General features: G+C 39.6%; 2 protein-coding genes and 1 long non-coding RNA gene across 46 annotated transcripts in view, besides 1 other annotated feature; 1 reads left to right on the plus strand and 2 right to left on the minus strand.

The window, feature by feature from the left end:
• Nucleotides 1-641, minus strand: part of GKAP1 (G kinase anchoring protein 1) — a 78345-nt gene extending 77704 nt beyond the window's left edge. For 3 of the 4 annotated variants that reach the window (NM_001135953.2, NM_025211.4, XM_011519058.3), the window contains exon 1: nt 389-641. The gene's annotated coding sequence lies outside the window, so the exon portion shown is untranslated. Of the gene's footprint in view, nt 1-103; nt 356-388 lie in introns of those variants that run through there. The other variant, XM_005252241.3, reaches the window with a different exon arrangement.
• Nucleotides 16-835: a silencer, noted in NCBI's record as "silent region_19978". NCBI's record gives its function as "represses an Ori minimal core promoter by ATAC-STARR-seq in GM12878 lymphoblastoid cells {active_cell/tissue: GM12878}" and the evidence as "EXISTENCE:reporter gene assay evidence [ECO:0000049][PMID:35858748]".
• LOC101927552 (uncharacterized) lies at nt 538-20455 on the plus strand. 12 transcript variants are annotated; one of them, XR_001746795.2, is made up of 7 exons: nt 736-1445; nt 2678-2742; nt 3183-3311; nt 13740-13825; nt 14435-14484; nt 18423-18577; nt 19902-20455. It is a non-coding gene; the product is annotated as an uncharacterized LOC101927552 (long non-coding RNA). The 12 variants fall into 12 exon arrangements; XR_001746793.2 differs by adding an exon at nt 538-599 and having other exon boundaries at nt 1273-3311; XR_001746789.2 differs by adding an exon at nt 12479-12587 and having other exon boundaries at nt 736-3311.
• KIF27 (kinesin family member 27) overlaps nt 16971-21850 on the minus strand; it is an 87334-nt gene continuing 82454 nt past the window's right edge. For all 30 annotated transcript variants that reach the window (NM_001271927.3, NM_001271928.3, NM_017576.4 and 27 more), the window contains one exon: nt 16971-20357. In NM_001271927.3, the coding sequence (NP_001258856.1) occupies nt 19873-20357 (485 nt within the window). In that variant the 3' untranslated portion in view covers nt 16971-19872. The remainder of the gene's footprint in view (nt 20358-21850) is intronic.

The following is a 21850-nucleotide window of genomic DNA, read 5'->3' on the forward strand; positions in this document are numbered from 1 at the left end:
TGAAAGGGAGAAAACGAGTCAGGTCGTTGCTCCAGAAATTTCCGAGCGCCCGGCTCCCCGGGAGGGAGCGCGGGCGCCAGCGGCGGGGAGGGGACGGTGGCACCTGTCACTCGAGCGGCCCCCACGGGGTCTCGGGAGGCTCAGCGGTCGCCGGCCTGGGAGTCGGGTGCGAGTCCCTCCCCGCCGCCCCGAGCCTTGCGCCGAGCGTCGGGCCGCGGCCCTCCCGTGCCCTCTGCCCAGCGGCTCCGGTCAGTGGGGCCCGTCGCCTCAGGCCGAGTCCCCGCCACCCGAGGCCGGGGCGCCGAGGGGAGCGCTGTCGAGCCGCTGCCTACGCCTCCGGGGTGCCGGAGCGGACACCCGCGAGGCGGGCCCGCCTCCGCGTACTCACCGGGCCTCCCGTGCCGCCGGCTCGGCCCTCCTCTCCCTCCTCCCCCCGCCGCCGCCTCTCCCGCGGCTCCCCGGGCGGCCGCACTGGGCGTTGGGACTGGTCTGGGTCAAGTGTCGGCAGAGCTGGGGGCAGGCTCGCGCCGGGCGGGGGTCGCGGTCGGCCCACAGGCTGGGCACTAACGGGTCCCGGGGCGCCGGGGCGGACCGCGGAGGTGAGCGCGGCTGCAGGCTGCGGTGAGGGGCGGGGAGAGCGCGGCTGAGAGCAGGCGGGCGGGCGGAGGGTGGAGGGAAGCCCGGGCGGAGGAGGCGGCGTGAGAGCCTCGGGGCGGGGGCGGGGGCGGGGGCGGGGCCTGGCGCGTCCGCCGAGCGCGGGGGTTTGTTTATTTTCGCGGTTGGTAGCGGCGCTGGCGCTGGTTAGAGGTTCGCCGGTGACGTGAGCGCCCGAGTTGGGGGAGAGGACCAGAACCACCTGCTGGAGAAGGGGAGCTACGGGGGCCGGGCAGGGTCCAAACGCCTCACGTAGGCGGCGGCGCCACGGTCTTCGGGGTCACAGGGAAGAGAAGGGCTCTCCTCAAGCGGGTGGAAGGAGGGAGGCCTCCCGAGGGAGTGAGACTCTAGGCCACTCCCCCGCAGCAAGGCAGGATCACCTGCGACGCGGAGAGCGGTTAGAGGGCCCTGGAGTGGAAAAGGGCAGTGGGACCTGGTAGCTTGGGTTCCCTGCAACTTGGGGTTCGACCTCCAGGCAATGAAGTAGGGATGGTCCTGCAAGTCAAGATTCCAGTAGCAAGAGTGCATCAGATCTCTGTAAGGAAAATAACTAACATTGCTCAGTTCCCTGTAGAGTTGCAGGGCGCTTTAACGTTATCTCCCTTGGTTCTCCATCAGGTCGTAGTGGACTAATTTTACAGGCGAAGTTAAGTGACTTACCCAAAACCTCACAGCTAATAAACGGCAGAGCCGGCACCCAGCTGTACTGGCTTCCAATTCTGTTAGCTTACCAGCGCATCACATTATCTCCATAAATCCCCATGATTCAACTAATATTAGACGCCCCACAGGTAAGATGCTTCAGAGTTAGAGGGGAGTTGAAGATACCTTTGCCTTCAAAGAAGTAAGGAATAAAACAAAGATAAAACAGACAATAAAAGACAAACCATGATAGGTGCCACGTGAAAAGTGGCAGAGTACTGCCGGGAATCAAAGAACCGTGTATATCTGTCTTGGGGATAAGGAAAGAAAGGCAGCATGAAGGAGTAGGCATTTGGGATTGACCTTGAAGGAGACAGGGAGAGTTTTACAGCAAGCAGGGATAGCATGAGAATATATATGAAGGCGAATCAGTGAAAGTTGTGTTGGGGAAAGAGCAAAGACTCCAGGGTATGTTGAGAGGTAGAAAAGACAAAGGAGTATGGGGCCTAAGATACCAAATGGATGAATTTATATTTAATTCAGTATTTTGAGTTTTTATGGTTCAGAAGTTTGGGGGAAGAAAAGGAAGGTTTTTTTTTTTCTTTGTGCTAGTGATTTATCTGTGAGGGGAAGCAGAAATCAGAGGTGGAAAAACGGACAGATCTACTGTAGGCCAGGTAAAAATGATGAGTCTGACCTAAAGGGACAGCTAGGGGAATTTAAAAGAGCATAGTTGAGAGATGATGTGCATGCAGTATCTATAGAATTTGGCAACTGATTGATTAATTGTGGGTAGGAAGAGAGAAATCAAAGAAAGTGGAGGTTTTGAGTTTGTAGATAATTGCAAGAGAGAAAAGAGACAATTACAAAGGAGAGGGAGCTACTTCTTGAGAGATCAGTTTAGATTTGGACATTTTAAGAATTCAAAGGGTTGTCAAGACAGCCAGAGAGACATGGACACTAATAAGTTAGAAATAAAGGTTTTGTAATATGGGAAAGAGGACTGAACTAGAAAATAGACTCATAAATAATCAGCCTAGGAGTGATATTGCTGTGAGATAAAAGAAGAAAACAAAGGTCAGAATCTTGGAAAACACCCTCTTTAGAGTCTCGCTACTCAAAACGTGGTCAGTGGCCCAGCAGCACTGACATGAGGATGTTAGTTAGAAACTCAGAATCTCAGGCTCCACCCCAGACCTGCTGAACCAGCATCTTCAACTTAACAAGAACCCGAAGAGATTTGTGTCACATCAAAAAGTTTGAGAAGCTCTGATCTAGGTGAGCCAAGCCAGCAAAGAAAGGGGATGGAGCAGAAAATGGGAGGAGAATAGGGTAACGCAGAATCATCAAGACAAGGTAAATTGGAGTTTCACAAAAACAGGGCTGGAAGGAGTGTTGCTCAACAATATCCAAAACCACAGAGGTTGAAAAGCACAAGGAAAGAAGGTATGTTTGCACTTTGTGATTAGGTAGTAGGGTCTTTGAGACCACATTGTTCTTATTGAAAGCCTGGGAAGAAAGATCCCCTTTCTGGTCAAGTTTAGTCTAGGGATCCATCCCATCTTCCCCAGTTCCCACGTGTATGGGACATGTCGAGATAAGTAGATAGATTGGACAGTGGGAGAAAGTAGTTCTCTTCCAGTTGCTTCTATTTTCTCAGCAAAGTGAGGAGCAAGATCATTTTGGCAGACTGCTAATTGTCCATCACAATTTAGTCTCCCTTTCTCCCTGAAAACACAGACTGCTTTTCTCAGCCTCTCTTTCAGTTGCATATGGTCAAGTATTAAGTTATAGAACGTGAGCAGATGTTATGTCTGCCACTGTCAGGCCAAGGCGTTTACTTTGAGAGTACTTGTGCCTCTTTCATGCATTTTCCTTTCTGCCAGCTGGACCCTGGACACGGTGACTCTGATTCAATTATGCAGATGACCACAAACCTCTGGGGTTGGCAGAGCCACAAGAAAGAAGGTGCCTGGATGAAGGAGAGCTACCCACTGACCTGGACACCCAATTATGTGAGCAAGATATATTTCTATTGAGTTGGAGCCATAACATTTTGCAGTCTATTTTTTATAGCAGTTTAGCCTACTCTAGGTAATGTAGTCCTTAACGGAAAGTATTGAGAAAAAAAGAGAGAAGGGAGGTGAAATCAGAGTTTATGAGTGAGGGAGAGTGAACTGACTAAAGAACATGGTAAAGTTTCCAGGCATTACTAAGAGCCCCATTGAATAAGTGGTCATGAATTTATAGTGAGGCTAGCCACTTGGTTATGCAATTTTCTCTAGCCATATTCAGTTGCTCATGTGCAGGCACTGAGTAGGCAGTTTTGGCAGTAACCAGGACTGAGATTTGACCAGGCAAGTATAAGGGGAAGATAAGGGCAGAGTTGGTGTTGATAGAGGCAAAGGAGGCCTTATAATTTCAGAAGTGGTAAGAAGTAAAGCTATGAGAGGAGTGAAGAATGGTGGAAAGACGGTAGAGTGACTGAATTGGTGTTTTTGATGAGGTTGAAGAATTGTTGAAGTTTAGTTACTATATGCAATGACCTTGGAACGATAAGAGGTGGTTGGAGAGTGGAGGCTTGAATTAAATTAGAGGAGGACCTGTAGTTACCAGTAATATTACAGTGTAAGGAATGCATATGAGAATGGATAATTGAGGTACCAGAGGGTACGAGATCCTTTGAAGGGAGGTCAAGGAATTGAGACACAGTAAGGATTTTGAAATGAACATCCACATAGTTATATATATCTGTTATACATACATACATACATATATACACATACCCCTCACAAAGAATTACCGCAAGAGTGATTCCACAGTAGTGTTGTAGTAGTGAGTAGTTTTGGAGAGAGTGATAGTAGCCCTAGTACTAAAATCTTTAATCTATGAGTGAGGGGTTGAATTCTTCAAATTAGGCTGCACAGGGACATCAGTGGTTTAATATGTTAAACTCTTGCAAATATCACATTTCATTAAACAGATGCTTTTACGTTTTATGTTGCTAAAGTGAGATTTCTAATTGCTTCTCTCTGACCTCTCAAATTACGATGGTAACTGCCTTCTTTTACAGGAAATGCCCATCTGTCTGTATTAAACACCAGACACATGCCAGGTTTTCCAATTTAAATGACAGTGCTTTAAAACTTGTCATAGACTACTCTGTCCTACCTCCAACGTGTATTTCAAGTAGATACATCTACAGATGCTAGCTCTGCCACATCAAACAATGCACAGTGAATGTTCAAAATCTACATTAAAAACCTCGGTTATAAAGAGCTAGATACTCTGTTTTACATGATGTGATTATTACACATTGCATGCTTGTATCAGAACATCTCATATACCCCATAAATATATACATCTACTGTGTATGCACAAAAATTAAAATTATTATTATTTTTGAGATGGAGTCTTGCCCGGTCAACCAGACCAGAGTGCAGTGGTGCAGTCTCGGCTCACTGCAACTTCCGCCTCCCTGGTTCAAGCGATTCTCCTGCCTCAGCCTCCCGAGTAGCTGGGACTACAGGTGCCCACCACCACACCTGGCTAATTTTTTGTATTTTTAGTAGAGACAGGTTTCACCGTGTTAGCCAGGATGGTCTTGATCTCCCGACCTCGTGCTCTGCCTGCCTCGGCCTCCCAAAGTGCTGGGATTACAGGCATGAGCCACTGCGCCTGGCTCTTCCTTCTTTCTTAAGTTGCTTAGTTTTATCTCTCTCTCTCTCATTTTTCTGAGACTGGATCTCATTCTTTCACTAAGGCTGGAGTGCAGTGACGCGATGATAGCCCACTGCAGCCTCAATCTCCCAGGCTCCCACCTCAGCCTCCTGAGTAGCTGGGACTACAGATGTGCACCAGTACTCCTGGCTAATTTTTTTTTTTTTCTTAAGGTAGAGACAAAGTCTCACAATGTTGCCTGGCCTGGTCTCAAAACTCCTGAGCTCAAGCCATCCCCCTGCCTCAGTTCCCAAAATGTTGGGATTACAGATGTGAGCCACCACACCTGGTGGTTGCTTAGTTTTCTCTATATCTATCACCATTACATCTCCGTATTTTCCACCAGAGTTGTGAAATTTTGTTCAAAAGTTTCAGACATATTAGGTAATCCATCATTTCCATTTTCTTTTCTTGGAGACATCCCTTCTAGACACTTCCATCCTCTAGTGTGCTCTCCAGGCCTGCTACACAGCTGACTTCCTGGAACCTCCCATCACCTTCATCTAGGGCAGGAGTGTCCAATCTTTTGGCTTTCCTGGGCCACACTGGAAGAAGAATTGTCTTGGACCACAATAAAATACACTAACAATAGCTGATGAGCTAAAAAAAAATCACAAAAAAGTATGTTTTAAGAAAGTTTACAAATTTGTGATGGGCCACATTCAAAGTCATCCTGGGCCACACACCACAGGTTGGAAAAGCTTGTCTAGAGAATTCTCTTTGTTTTCTGCTTTGTTGGAGTTCTGGTTTACCAGATCCCATGTTTTTCTGTTTCTCTTTTTCTCTTTTTTGAGACGGACTCTCACTCTGTCACCCAGGCTGGAGTACAGAGGCATAATCTCAGCTCACTGCAGCCTCCGCCTCTCAGGTTCAAGTGATTCTCCTGCCTCCACCTCTCAAGTAGTTGGGATTACAGGCATGTGCCACCATATCGGCTATTTTTTTTTTTTTTTTGTATTTTTGGTAAACATGAGGTTTCACCATATTGGCCAGGCTGGTCTCAAACTTCTGGCCTAAAGTGATCCACCTGCCTCAGCCTCCCAAAGTTCTGAGATTACAGGTGTGAGCCACTGTGCCCAGCCACATGTTTTTCTGTTTCTTGATATACGCCTTTACTTGGATGGAGTGCTCCTTCCAGCAGTTTCCTGAGTGAGAAGAGTATATGGAAGTTAAAATTTTTGAGAATTTCTTGATTTTGACATGTTTTCTGGCTTTCTGTACTGCTTTTATTTCCTCCAATTTCTTTTTTTTTTTTTCTTTTTAGAGACGGAGTTTCACTCGTTTCCCAGGCTGGAGTGTAGTGGCATGACCTCAGCTCACTGCAACCTCTGCCTCCTGTGTTCAAGCAATTCTCCGGCTTCAGCCTCCCAAGTAGCTGGGATTACAAGTGTGTGCCACCACGCGCAGCTACTTTTTTGTATTTTTAGTAGAGATGGGGTTTCACCATGTTGGCCAGGCTGGTCTCGAACTCCTGACCTCTGGTGACCCACCCACCTTGGCCTCCCAAAGTGCAGGGATTACACCACAACTGGCCTCTAAAGCTTTTTTTTCTTTTCTTGTTTGTTCATTGTAGATTCTGTCTTTTATGTAAGGAGGTTTCTTCAAATAAATGGAGATCATCAACTGTTCACCACATTTAAGAATGAGGTGATATCTGGGCATCATGGCTCATGCCTGTAGTCCCAGCTACTTGGGAGGCTGAGGCAGGAGGATCTTTATTATTATTATTATTATTATACTTTAAGTTTAGGGTACATGTGCACAATGTGCAGGTTTGATACATAGGTATACATGTGCCATGTTGGTTTGCTGCACCCATCAACTCGTCATTTACATTAGGTATACCTCCGAATGCTATCCCTCCCCACAGGTGCCAGTGTGTGATGTTCCTCGCCCTGTGTCCAAATGTTCTCATTGTTCAATTCCCATCTATGAGTGAGAACGTGCAGTGTTTGGTTTTCTGTCCTTGTGATAGTTTGCTGAGAATGATGGTTTCCAACTTCATTCATGTCCCTGCAAAGGACATGAACTCATCCTTTTTATGGCTGCATAGTATTCCATGGTGTATATGTGCCACATTTTCTTAATCCAGTCTATCACTGATAGACATTTGGGTTGATTCTAAGTCTTTGCTATCGTGAATAATGCCACAATAAACATACATGTTTGTGTGTCTTTATAGTAGCATGATTTATAATCCTCTGGGTATATACCCAATAATGGGATTGCTGGGTCAAATGGTATATCTAGTTCTAGATCCTTGAGGAATTGCCACATTGTCCTCCACAATGGTTGAACTAATTTACACAGGCAGGAGGATCATTTGAGGCCAGGAGTTTGAGGTCAGCCTGTGCAACACAGAGATACCCCATCTATGAAAAACTTGTTAAATTTGTATTATTTTTAGAGAGGGTCTCACTCTGTTAACCAGACTGGAGTACAGTGGTGCAATCACAGTTCACTGCAGCCTCAAACTCCTGGCTCAAATTATCCTCCACCCTCAGCCTCCCAAGTAGCTAGGACTACAGGTGTGTACCACCAGGCCCAACTAATTTTTAATTCTTATTTGTAGAGATGGGATCTCACTATGTTGCCCAGGCTGGTCTTGAACTCCTGGGCTCAAGTGATCCTCTCACCTCAGCCTCCTAAACTGTTGGGATTACAGGTGTTAGCTAGCGCGCCCAGCCAAAATTTTTCAAATAAAAGAATGAGGCAATAAGATGTTGATGAGAGCCTCTGTAGGAACAATCAGGGATTACTGACTATTGGGCTGACTGTAAAAGACAGTCAACAAGCCACACTCTTCACCGTGGGATCCCCAAACCTCAATATTTGGAGACCTCTTCTCTTGGAGCAGCTGGTTTTCCCCTAAGAAGCTTCCAGTCTCTTGACAGGATCCCAGCATTCTAGGATCTGAATTTGTGAATGAAGCTGGGGGAAAGGGGTCTGCCTTATAATTTAATATGCACAACTTCACTTAATTCTGCTTTTCTGTGTAGTGAGTCATCCCTGTCTTCAGCTCTGCCTGGTGCCTAGGAGAGCTCTGAGTCAACCTCTCCAGAAAGTAAACCATCTATCTTCCGGTGAATTTGGGCAGCATGGAATGGAGTAGGGAATCTAGGGGAGGCAGGATCATTCTCTTTAGAAAACATTCACAGTGAATTCTCCTTTTCAGCCTTGTTCTCCTTCTGCTTTCGGAGAGAAAGCAGCTCTAGTTTTAGAGCCTTTCCAGGGTGCTGTGACATGGATAGGCTCACTTCTGGCTGGTTCTGCCTTCTCCCAAAAGCTGAAGTAGTCACTTTGGCGGCTTTGGTAAGTCAGTGATCACTCATCCATCTGCTTTCCATGCTTCTAAGTTTTGTTGGCATTTTATTCAGCTGGGATCTCTTTCCCTGTTTGCTTTTTCTTTATAGATTTATATCTCTTTTATTCCTTTACTGTCATTTTAATGAGATCTCTGGAGTAAGTGGAGACAAATGTGTGTTCAATGCACTATGCTTAACCAGATGTCCCCTTGCCACTGGGTCTTAACGTGTACAGATGTAATGAACATTTTCTAAGTAGGAAAAGTCCATGTATAGTTAAAGAAATTCCATAATAATTAGAAATAAGTATGATAATAGAATAACCATACCTAACTTAATGCTTATATGTACTTGCAGTCTTTAGAATGGTTGTGTGTGTGTGTGTGTGTGTGTGTGTGTGTAACGTGTCTTATCCTCACAATAACCTCATAATTCTACCCCTAGCAGTCTGAGCCCAAAGCCCCTATCTTACATAACATGGTACATCATTTCCCAAGCTACAGGTAATCTTATTTTCAATTTATCAGGTCTTTAGCCAGTCCCTACTTACTGTTAACTTAAGCTATAACTGAAGTTTTAATTTTTTAATTTTTAATTTTAATTTTTGGCCCGGGTACTATAGCTCATGCCTGTAATCCCAGCACTTTGGGAGGCCGAGGCAGGCAGAGCACGAGGTCGGGAGATCAAGACCATCCTGGCTAACACGGTGAAACCTGTCTCTACTAAAAATACAAAAAATTAGCCAGGTGTGGTGGTGGGCACCTGTAGTCCCAGCTACTCGGGAGGCTGAGGCAGGAGAATCGCTTGAACCAGGGAGGCGGAAGTTGCAGTGAGCCGAGACTGCACCACTGCACTCTGGTCTGGTTGACCGGGCAAGACTCCATCTCAAAAATAATAATAATTTTAATTTTTGTGCATACACAGTAGATGTATATATTTATGGGGTATATGAGATGTTCTGATACAAGCATGCAATGTGTAATAATCACATCATGTAAAACAGAGTATCTAGCTCTTTATAACCGAGGTTTTTAATGTAGATTTTGAACATTCACTGTGCATTGTTTGATGTGGCAGAGCTAGCATCTGTAGATGTATCTACTTGAAATACACGTTGGAGGTAGGACAGAGTAGTCTATGACAAGTTTTAAAGCACTGTCATTTAAATTGGAAAACCTGGCATGTGTCTGGTGTTTAATACAGACAGATGGGCATTTCCTGTAAAAGAAGGCAGTTACCATCGTAATTTGAGAGGTCAGAGAGAAGCAATTAGAAATCTCACTTTAGCAACATAAAACGTAAAAGCATCTGTTTAATGAAATGTGATATTTGCAAGAGTTTAACATATTAAACCACTGATGTCCCTGTGCAGCCTAATTTGAAGAATTCAACCCCTCACTCATAGATTAAAGATTTTAGTACTAGGGCTACTATCACTCTCTCCAAAACTACTCACTACTACAACACTATTGTGGAATCACTCTTGCGGTAATTCTTTGTGAGGGGTATGTGTATATATGTATGTATGTATGTATAACAGATATATATAACTATGTGGATGTTCATTTCAAAATCCTTACTGTGTCTCAATTCCTTGACCTCCCTTCAAAGGATCTCGTACCCTCTGGTACCTCAATTATCCATTCTCATATGCATTCCTTACACTGTAATATTACTGGTAACTACAGGTCCTCCTCTAATTTAATTCAAGCCTCCACTCTCCAACCATCTCTTATCGTTCCAAGGTCATTGCATATAGTAACTAAACACCAGACTTCGTCTCAAAAAAAAAAACAAAAAACAAAAACAAAAACAAAAAAGCAACTAAGAAGAAGAAGAAAGGGAATAAAAACCTCCAGGAAAAATAGTCACAGCCCTAAAAAACGACGAAATCATGTCCTTTGCAGCAACATGGATGCAGCTGGAGGCCAATTATCGTAAACGAATTAGTGCAGGAACCAGAATACCAAATACCATGTGTTCTCACTTACCTTACCCCTAAAAGTTAGATGCCCTTCCTCCATACTCCCACAGTACCCTCTATATTTTTACGAGTCATTATATTCCTCTTTACTTTGTGAGCCCCTTAAAAGCAGAGACCGGGTCTGTTTTACTCACTGGTATGTCACTACAGTGCCAGGCTCATTGTTTGCATTCAGGTGGTTGTTGAATGAACAAACTCAAATGTAACTGCCTATTTACTTGTCTGTCTTTCCTCAACAGGCTGTATGTTCCTTGGTGGATGGATCTGTGGTTTATTAAGCTTTGTTTCTTTTAGCATTTAGCACTCAGCATGAAGACCTAGCACACAGAAGTTTATTGAATAAATTAAATTTGTCAGGATTAATAATTAATCTTTAAAATACAGTATATAGCATTGAAGAATATATAGAAAGTATTCTCAAGATACAGAGAGACATGGGTTGCTCAGGATTATTCCTTTGTGTTTCACTTATAGGAAAGATCTCATACTACAGACTACAAATGCCAAATGACCTACTGTGCTCATACCACCCTTAACCTAGAAATAAAATAGAAACAATTCCTAAAGAAACAGTCTTAAAAATAACCAGCTAAAATTTTATCAACAACAACAAAAAAGTAGTTGGGGTTTCTGCTCATTAAATTAGTTTGTATGGGTAAGCACCACCTAAGTTTCTTGATTCATGGCATGTGTTCTTAAACCAATTTACTATCCACTAAAAATAAATGGTGATCATTATATAAAAAGCAGTTGTATTTCTTGACACTAGCAATGAACCATCTGAAAATGAAATTAAGAACACAATTCCACTTACAGTAGCATCAAAAAGAATAAAATATTTAGAAATAAATTAAACCAAAGAAGTGTAAGACATGTACACTGAAAACTAAAAAACACAGTTAAAAGAATGGAAAGATAGCCTATGTTCATGGATTGGAAGACTGAATATTGCTCAGATGGCAGTACTCCCCAAATTGATCTACAGATTCAATGCAATTCCTATCAAAATTCCATCTTCCTCTTTGTAGAAATGGACAACTGGTCCTAAAATTCATATGGAAACTTAAGGGACCCCAAATAATGAACAAATGTTGGAAAAGAAGAACAAAGTTCATGGGTTCACACTTTGACTTCAAAATTTACTACATAATCAAGACAGTGTGGTATGGTCTGTCATAGGACAGACATATAGACCAGTGGAATAAAATTGAGTCCAGAAATAAACCTGTGTGGTCAATTGGTTTTCAACAAATGTATGAAGACAATTTAATGAGGAAAGAATAGTTTTTTTCAACAAATTGTATTGACACAACTGGATATCTGCATGCAAAATAATGAAGTTGGACCCTTAACTCATACCATGTACAAAAACTAATTCAAAATTGATCAGAGACCCAAATGTAAGACTTAAAACTGTAAAGTGCTCTTCTCCTTCCATCAAAGCTGGTTGGATGTGATTTCCGTGTTCAGATACAATTTATGATACTTGCTTCTTTTGAGCATGCATACATTAGAAGAGCATTTTTTGATCAGTATGTTTACATGTAGTTCTTACAGCTTTATATATATGTGAGCTCAGAAACATATTTCCATCTGAAAAAGCACCCCTAATTTTCTGTCTCCTTACCCTGCTTTACTCTCTCCATAAGTAATGTCACTGGACTGTAAGTTCCTTGAGGGATAGGGCTTTTAGTTTTCAACTCTATCAGCAAAAATATAAAGGTTGATAGAAAATATAAAGCAGGAAAATGCCTATAAATTAAAAGCCTGTAGAAATTTCCATCTTTACATTTTAGCATTTACATATAGATGCCATTTTTTTATATTTTCAGGAAATAAATAACTTTAGCTACCAGCCCACCCTTTGGAAGAGGTACAGATTATTTCCCATATAAGAACTAAACCCCACGGTACTGGCCCATGTCTTGAAGGGTGAAGGGCCAACTAAACTCACATAATCAAATGCTTAAACCTAGCTTCCTTTCTCATGGGAGATACTGAATTTTGTAATAAACCTTACTAAGAATACCTCATACCACTTAAGGTAACTCAGGAAAACTGTATGTTAGTATTCTTCTTTTCTGATTTATTTGTTCACAATCCACTAGAATACTTATGATTGTAGGTTCCATTACCCTTAAAGTCTTGACCTTCTCTTTCCTTGGCTGCTCAGGTCATAGGTGCTGTGATCTAGAGACAAAATGTTCCTTACACTGGCAGATACTTGCAAACTAAGGGGAATGAGCTTCCTTCTGAATGTTTATGAAGGAGAGGCCACTGTGGTAATGTTAAAATTAATACACTTGTTGTATTTAGGAGCTAAAAGTCTCAGATGCTAAATGAGGACTGATTTGCTTTTTATTTGATCATATACCTATACATGTGCAAAAAAAATTAACTACTTGTTTTATAGTTTCTTTGGGGAAAAATAGTTTAAAATTCTTATCAGTTTTAAGAAAAGTTATTTTCCAGCCATAGTTCAATAGCTCACAAATGTAACTGTTACTAAAAAAATAAGTAATAAATAGCCAAAAACTGGTGGCCAAAGATCCAGTAAAAAACATCCTCTTTCACTCATAAATCAACGAAATAGTCATGAAGCACTTCTATGCCTATAAAAATAGATTCAGCAAGTCTTTAAAATATTTTTGCTAGAATTCACATTAATCTTCCCAGAGAATACTCTTATTTATACTGTTGAAACATACATAACTAAAATTGGGAATTTGTTTAGAAGATATATATAACTAAAACTGAGAATTTGTTTAGAAGATGTCTTATGATTTGCATATATGTAAAATAAACAACCATGTGTTCCAAACAGTTATCCCATTTTGACATCCAACTGTATGGAAAACTTACTTATAATTTAATCTTAAACATATATGATGCTTCAATTTTCAAAGTGCTTTCATTTGATAAAGCATTTATTTGATAAAGCAAGGGTATGTAACAAAAATATTCACTATGTAACAAAAATAGTAATTTCCCTAATTTGTGTTTCATTTGAAAAATATGATTTTGATATTAAATGCAGGGTAGTGATTCATAAATAGTTTTTTAAAGGCTGTTTGGTTTAGAAAATGTCATTTAATGTACTCTATTAATAAAATTACAGGCTGTGTCATTCTAGTCATGTCTAACAGCTGGTGACACCTGGAGCTAGCCAGGAAAATGTCTAGTGAAACAGATGGGCTTAGCCCCAGGCCTTGAATGGAACAATTCAGATGCTGTCCAACCCTCCCAGGTGATGGGAATTTCAAAAGGAGATTAACTCCTCAGTATTAAAATACCTTGCCCTGTTCCCATTATTCCCATCTAGAAAAAGCATGCTAGAAAGTAACAACAAAACTTTGACTTTAATAGTTATAAATTATTATGAAAATTATCAGTTAGTTGAACTCGGATAACTCCTCACTCCTTTTCATTCCTAGAGGATAGACAGTGAAGTGCAACTACAGCCCGCAAATGAAAATGAATAATATTAATCCAGCCCCTCAAGGCAGGCGAGTAGCTGCTGGTTTGTAATCTTGAATTAAAGTTTTTTTATACACAGGTTTTTCGGTAGACAAATTCAGGGACATTTTAGCAGAGGAAAAAAAATAAGCAAAATAGTCGAGATATCATTGTTTTACAAAAATAAATCCCATTTTGCCTACAGCAATTTTTTTGTTTGTTTTGGTATATCATTCATGGTTCTTCAAAGGTAAAATCACTTAAGTCCTAACTGCTTTCCTTCAGTGTATGTTGTTAGGCCATTGGAATTTACCACAAACTGCTATTTCTTGTAATTCTCTATCGAATGGCTCCACAATTTCTATTCAAATTCGATCTAGGATGGCTTCTTTTCATAATATCCTGAGTGAATAGTAAACATAGGAAAAGGAACCAGTATAAAAATATACCAGTATGAAAAATAAAAACCAGTATAAAAAAGTTATTTTTTAATGGCAAAGTCAGTACTAACCAAGAGTATTCTTTAGTGTTTAGAGATAGCCAAAGGTTGAATTTAAGTTTCAGTCCTTATGCCAGAGAAATATATTCTCTCAAAATATTTTTTGAAAATCCTCTGCTTGTCTATGGAATGCTTTCAAATAAACCTCTTTCCCCCGTCTCCCTCCCACTCCAGTCATCTGTCTTAGAGCTATTGGAATCCTGGATCATTGTGGGAAATGAAAGGTAAGTAAGTACATGCCTATGATTTGTTGTTGGTAAGTGTGGCGTGGGGTCCAAGGAATGGTTCGTTTAAAAATAAGGCAGACCACGTAACTTTTTTTTTTTTGAGACGGAGTCTCCCTCTGTTGCCCAGGCTGGAGTGCAATGGCGCGATCTCGGCTCACTGCAACCTCTGCCTCACGAGTACAAGCAATTCTCCTGCCTCAGCCTTCCGAGTAGCTGGAACTATAGGTGTGCCACCACACTCGGTTAATTTTGTATTTTTAGTAGAGATGGGGTTTCATCATGGCCAGGCTGGTCTTGAACTCCTGACCTCGTGATCCACCTGCCTCAGCCTCCCAAAGTGCTGGGATTACAGGCATGAGCCACCGTGCCTGGCCGATCACATAACTTCTTTTTTTTTAATTTAATTTTATTTTATTATTATTATACTTTAAGTTTTAGGGTACATGTGCACAATGTGCAGGTTAGTTACATATGTATACATGTGCCATGCTGGTGTGCTGCACCCATTAACTCGTCATTTAGCATTAGGTGTATCTCCTAATGCTATCCCTCCCCCCTCCCCCCACCCCACAACAGTCCCGAGTGTGATGTTCCCCTTCCTGTGTCCATGTGTTCTCATTGTTCAATTCCCACCTATGAGTGAGAACATGCAGTGTTTGGTTTTTGTCCTTGTGATAGTTTACTGAGAATGATGATTTCCAGCTTCATCCATGTCCCTACAAAGGACATGAACTCATCATTTTTTATGGCTGCATAGTATTCCATGGTGTATATGTGCCACATTTTCTTAATCCAGTCTATCATTGTTGGACATTTGGGTTGGTTCCAAGTCTTTGCTATTGTGAATAGTGCCGCAATAAACATACGTGTGCATGCGCTCACATAACTTCTAACAATATTTACCACATTGGACTTGAAAAATTATACCTTGCTTTATATAAGTACTGTAGTAAGCTTGAAAACACAATAATACAGTATACAAATAAGGTTTTAAAATAATTCCTTTTCTACTTTAGTTATATAATTATTAATAGATAGTTTTAAATTTCCAAGAATCATTAAGTATACATTTTTAAAAAATATTTAATTTTCTATTCTTTTCTGTTGTGAATGGTTTTGTTCCTTGGGCATATAGGGATCTTGCTCATTATAACAGACTATGAGATTGTTGTATTTTTCTCTTAAAGTACTGTAGATAACTCAATAGAGCTGTGTGTTACAATTAACCAGTAGAACATAATATCTAAGTCTTATTCAATATATTTGGGTTCAAATTACACTGTTAGCATTTCAAATAGTGCCAATTCTGTTGACTCACTGCAGAAATTCCTAGAAGGAAATATAAAAACAGACAAATGAGAACTATGCAAAATATCAAAAGCCATCATTATAATATCAACTTTTTCTGGGATTTCTTTTCATAATTTCCTTTGTTCTAATTACCTCCATGTTGGAGTCATGTTGGGGTCAACATGAAAGCCATTATAAAAATCAAACACTATTCCAGTGTTTGATGCTTTCTTTGTATGCAGTACATTCCAAGGAATGGAAGGAATCACAGCAGTCAACCTTGGTGTAGGCAATAAGGGGTGCATTGTTTACAGATAATTTAAAAACAACAAAACCTATGAAAACTCAGCCTGCTTTTATCAGCAGCAATGACAGTGATAAAATACTTCTCCTTATCGGGCAGAGGCTCCCCAGTACCCTACCCTTGGTGTACTTCTGCCAACATAAGCTCAAAAGTACTACATGCCCAATGCTTTTGAGATGCTTATTGCAAATGGATCTCATTCTCACCTTTATATTTTCAATTTCTGAAAATATAAATGTAGAAGAATATATTACCAGTGTTAATCAAGGCAGCCTATAATCTGTTACAACTTTAAATGTTTAAAATATACATAATGAATTTTTTTAAAAAGTCCAGTGAAGTTGAGAGAGGAATTGTGGACATAAGTAACTTTCTACCTGAACTTTCAAATACTGATACCCCAGTGCTTTAAAGTCACGAGTAGGTGCCTAAGGAAATAAGTGAAAGATCAAAATATGTCATACTTGCATTTAATGTATGAGAATTTGTTTTGACCACAGAACCGAACTCCCACTAAGGATTTCACTCCCTGATAGTCATTCCAAAACTTAGTATAAGACTTTTATTTTTTTCTATATAAGGAATTTAGTCTCAAATAAGCATTCCTCACTTTACTGGCCTAGACTGAACAAGGCAATGGCTAGTGGCAATCTAGTCCACAATTAATGAAGATCATATTTTTGCTGACTCCTTGGACCCTGGGTTCATGAAGATATGAAGAATTGAGGCAACGACAAAAAAATACATTAACAAAAAGAAAGCAAACATTAAAGCACAAAAGCACCTTCATCAATGTTCTCACCACCTGTGGTTCCCAACATAAAGAATTTTCCATTTCTGTTAGCTATAACACTCTAGAGTTAGGAAAGTAACTAGTACTTTACAAATATTTTTCCTTTCAAATGCTTTATTACAGTTAAGAGGAAAAAAGAACATAATGAACGAAAAAAAGAAAACCACAAACATTTTATATACATGCAAAAAGGCAATAAAGTGACAAAATGTTTAGAAAAAGCATGTGAAAAAGTAAAATCATTATTAGTATATGTAAAAAAATAATTTTACTTGCCTTGGGTAGGTGTCTAATTTTTTTCTTTCCTTTGTGAGAACACCGACTAAACTAGAATGACCAGAGGTTCATTTCCAGAATATATTATTCACGACGTTATTTATATGTGTGTTTGCATATGTGGCATGAAATGTCATATATATAAAGGATATATGTTTAACCAAAAGGAAGAAAAACACCATACCTTTGTTATTTAGAAATCAACTCACAATTGCATAGTCAAACCTAATCATTGTTGTTTTGATATAAATTTTCTTGCTTTATTAGTGAGTTGGCTTTGAGGAAATGTGTATTTCCACAGGTAAAACAAGTATGTGTTAATTTCTTGAGCAAGTAGGATTCCAGTATCAGAATACATTCTTAAATGAATTATTCCTAAATAACGCATAGCACATTACTTAATCTTATAAGGAACTTATTATTAGGATCTTCATTAATAAATATTTATTTATAAATATTGCTGTGCTTGCTAAGGGCACTGACCTTTGGCCATTATATATATCTATATCTATGTATATATACAAGTGTATCTATATATACATTATAGCTATATAATGATATATCATGATATAAAATATGATATGAAATAATATAAAGTGAAATAATGTAAAATGTATAACCTATATCTATATACAAGTATATATATAATACTATATATATACAAGTGTTTATATACAAGTATATATAATGGTAAAAGGTCAGTGCCTTCAACAAAGCACAGCAATAATATATTTAAATAAATATGTATTTATTAACAAAGATCCTAATTATAAGTTCCTTGTAAGATTATGTGCTATGCCTTAGTTAGAAATAATTAATTTACACATACTTGTTTTACTTATGGAAATACAAACACATTTCCTTATATACTTGTATATGTACAAGTGTATATACATATATATATATGAAATATATATAATAATGGCAAAAGGTCAGTGCATTTATACATATTTATAATGTGTATGTTTTACCTTTGGTTTGTATGATTTATATTTATATATAAATGTACATAAATTTATAAAAATGGAAGACTAGCTGGAAACCAGAATCTGACTTCAAACAGTTCCTGGTAAAAATAAAATTTCCCAGTTAAGTTTGTAAATTAGTTTTTTGAAATTTAGAAAATAGTATCTCATTGGACCAATATTTATAAATTGTTTCATTCCCAGGTAAGTCCACAGAAATCTATTTAATTTAAATAAATTTTAGTACCATGCTTAAGAGATATTTTCCTTTTTATAAGTTTGTTTTGTTTTGGTTTGTTTCCTAAAGGAACTGGTTTTTAGCAAGGAGACCAAGAAACTCTACTCCCTAGGGGCTAGCAATGAGAGAAAGGAAGCCTTAAGTCTTTGAGCACAGGGTGACAGTTTGGGTCCTATGTGAGATGATCAAATCCACAGCAACAGAGGAAAGGACAAAAGGAAAAGGTCTGTAGCAGCACTACATCAGAAAAAAATGGATTCAGCAAGGAAGTGGGTGACTCTGAGTAAGCATCCATGTCAGGATGGTTTTGCTACAGCCCCCAACAAAACATTAATTAGTTTAAGAAACTCAACTTCGGTTTACAAGTGTTTTGGAAAAGTAACAAAGAACAACATAAGTAACAAAATAATTCCTCAGGTCATTACAATGGATGTTTCCTATAACTGAAAAATATGGTTAAAAAGTACAAACTACATTTGGTGTGCAAACTGTTTAGTTCTTAATTCCAAACTAAATTGTACATTATATAGTAAAATTTTGACCAGAAAAACTTGGAGATTTTAGTAAAAATTTCATTGACATATTTACAGCCCCAGTGTAGTTTGGCCGGTGTGCAAAGCCTGACTAAGGAGGTTATAGAAAAAAATATCAGACTTAAGCCCATCAAATCATTAAAGATGCTTTGGCAAGACTTCAAGCTTTACAGACATACTCCATGTGACCAGAGATGTCATAACCAGTGTTCTTTCTCTTGAAATGTTAGAATGCTTTAGTTTTATTCTATAATTTCCGTGTTCCATGGAACAGCATTCATTTCTCCCAGTTTTAGTAACATAATGAGAGATATATTGAGTGTATAGAGCAGGAAAGACATGAAAACTTATATTGCATAATATTAGCAAACATAAAAGATAGCATTATAAATTTTTAAAAATCCAAAAAAATTCCAGAAACAGAACAGTGAGCATGTTTAAAAAGTCAGGACTGACCGTTTCTGTGAGTTCTGAGGACTGTAAATGAGCCTCAATCCATAAAGCTGAGAGGTTGTCTTAGCCCACATATGCAGCAGGTGACTCCCTCTGACAAAAGCAAGATTTAGCTGGATCTTTTAAAAAAAAAATATACTTGTATTTGAGAATAACAATAATATAGTTATATTGTAACATACTTTTATGATGTACATTTATATTATATAATAATACATACTTGATAGATATTTTAGTCTATTACTAGTTTTAATCTTCAAATATGCCTGGAAAAACATTTAAGCGTATTTATAAATATTTAAATGTTATCAAGTATTGGAAAACATGTTTGATTACTATGGGAATATAAACTAAAACTCCCCAAATATATATAGAAGATGTACACATCTATAGCATATAAAAGAATTAGGGATTCCTTCCTCCCCTTCTTCCTTTATTCTGAGGAAAGAGGTAGTGAACTTGAGCTTTAGTTTTTAACAGGTTAGAAAAAGGAATCTTTTTACATATCTACTAAAAGTTCTATTATTCAATGTCTAAGTTTTTAAGTCCCTTGGTTTCCTAGATACTTCGATGGAATCAGCAGCCATTGATCCAATGCCAACTCCAAGACTGGAACGTCGCAATGATAGTTCCAAGGCGGAAATTTGACGTAATTCTTTTCGACACAGTTTTACAGGTGTGACACCATGAAGTCGTCCCACATTTCCCACAACCTGAATTTGGGATGACAGTCGACTGTGAGATTTTGTAAACTGATTATCATCTGTTTCTGTTTTATTCTCATTACCTAACATATGCCCACTGGGGGGTGCTAAAGAACTATGAATTGGAGGTAATTCTGGGATATCTTCCCAGAGCTTTTGAGGATTTGGCTGTGTTCTTAAGCTGCTTGCTGAACTGTCCATTTCTCTTTCTCTTCCACTTAATTTCATACTTTCAGGTCTGGATGCCCATTTTAATTCTTCTGAAAGCATGCCTCCTCCTTCTGGCTTCAGGACTCCATCTCCAGCCTCTTGATCTAAAAATAATCCCCAAACCAAAAAATTAGATACTATTTCCTCAAAATTAGGTATTTTAATCAAAACATCTTAACATAAATACATTATTATCACCCAATATGCATAATGTTTTTCAACTTTTTTGTTAAATGACTTATTTTAGATGAACAGATGTGTGAATATGAATATTTTTATTTCACTTACAGGCATCTTGCATGTGAATAACTCACAACTTTAATTCATGGAACAAATTGAGAAATAGTCTTTTGGGGGTTTGGTACTCCCTGGAAACATAAGAGTGCTTTGGGCACCTCTGGTGCCTTTCCATGCCTGCCTTCTCTGCTGTTCTTGCTACTAGTGAATTCTAAATCATGGCCAAGTGATGCCAGCACTGGATAATATTGGCTCTGCCCCATATCTCGAGGGAAAACTCTAGGACTTGGCATTATATGTGTGGGAATCTGGCCTTGGTTGGCACTCCCAGCATGATAGCGGGGTTCTCCTGTCTGAATGTACTCTGGGGTGTGCGCCACAATTTCTGTCATCGAAATGGAGATGAGAGAATATGCCCTTGGTGGGGACACCCCACTGGAATTAGAGTGAAGAGATCAAAGCTAGAGGTTCTTAAATCAAAGAATATCTAATAGCAAAGACAAAAACTTGCTTAAGGGAAATGCATACAAGTACTAGACCTAATATGATGAAAAATGCCAACTTCAATATATTGATGCATGCTTAGTACACTTTCAGTCCTGCAAAGACAAAGTTTTTTGTTGTTTTTTTTTTGAGACGGAGTCTCGCTCTGTCGCCCAGGTTGGAGTGCAGTGGCGTGATCTCGGCTCACTGCAAGCTCCGCTTCCTGGGTTCACGCCATTCTCCTGCCTCAGCCTCCCTAGTAGCTGGGACTACAGGCACCCGCCACCACGCCCGGCGAATTTTTTGTATTTTTAGTAGAGATGGGGTTTCACCGTGTTAGCCAGGATGGTCTCGATCTCCTGACCTCAGGTGATCCGCCTGCCTTGGCCTCCCAAAGTGCTGGGATTACAGGCATGAGCCACCGCACCTGGCCCAGTCCTGCCAAGACAAAGTTTTAAAACACAGGTTGCACATTGGCAGCTCTCAAGCCAAATCTGGCCCATAGACATGTTTTGCTTGGCCTATAATGTTAGTAATACTTGACCCAAGATTTAAAATTTGAAAAGTTTCATATAAAAATATAGATTTACAGCTTTTCTAGAAAAACTATAAGAGTTAACAGTTTCTGAATTGCAATAGCAGCTGGAACACCGTTGCCACTGACCATTTAGATGACTGCTGCAGTCCCCACTGCTCACTCTGGTTCAGGTAGGCATTCTAGTTTGTAACCCCTGGTTTAAAACATAACTGACTCTCTAGTTTTTAAAAATCTCTCAAAATCAAATAACCTGAACTAGCAAATGATCTAGATCCTCGTACATGGAACTCATACTAAGTTGACCACAGACAGTGGCTCCCAAACTCTGCAGTACATCAG

The sequence above is a fragment of the Homo sapiens genome, chromosome 9 (genome assembly GCF_000001405.40).
Source record: "Homo sapiens chromosome 9, GRCh38.p14 Primary Assembly".
Classification (NCBI taxonomy): Eukaryota; Metazoa; Chordata; class Mammalia; order Primates; family Hominidae; genus Homo; species Homo sapiens.